Source organism: Homo sapiens, chromosome 10 (genome assembly GCF_000001405.40).
Source record: "Homo sapiens chromosome 10, GRCh38.p14 Primary Assembly".
Taxonomy (NCBI): Eukaryota; Metazoa; Chordata; class Mammalia; order Primates; family Hominidae; genus Homo; species Homo sapiens.
In genome coordinates, this window is record NC_000010.11 from 30,461,834 (window position 1) to 30,462,300 (window position 467).

The window sequence follows — 467 nt, forward strand, 5'->3', positions numbered from 1 at the left end:
GTTGTTGTGAAGCCTGTGATTCTCAGCTGGGACTGAGGATGGGCTATAGGAGTTGAGTTATAGATTGGAAGGAAATGTGTATCATAAGAAGGCAAAAAATACCAGGAGCTTTGCAAATTGTATTAATACACTCCTTTTCTATTGCTCTTGTATGAAGCTATTGTCAGCTGGAATGGTTTGCATCCCCCGGTACATTGAGGTAGAAAAAACAATTGTGGTTGTGCCTGTAATCCCAGCACTTTGGGATGCTGAAGCGGGAAAACTGGTTGAGCCCAAGAGTTCAAGACCAGCCTGGCCAACATGATGAAATCCCATCTCTACAAAAAATACAAAAATTTGCCAGGTGTGATGGTGCATGCCTGTAGTCCCAGCTACTCAGGTGGCTGAGATGTGAGGATCACTTAAGCCTGGGAGGCGAAGGTTGCAGTGAGCCAAGATCATGCCACACTACACTCCAGCCTGGATAA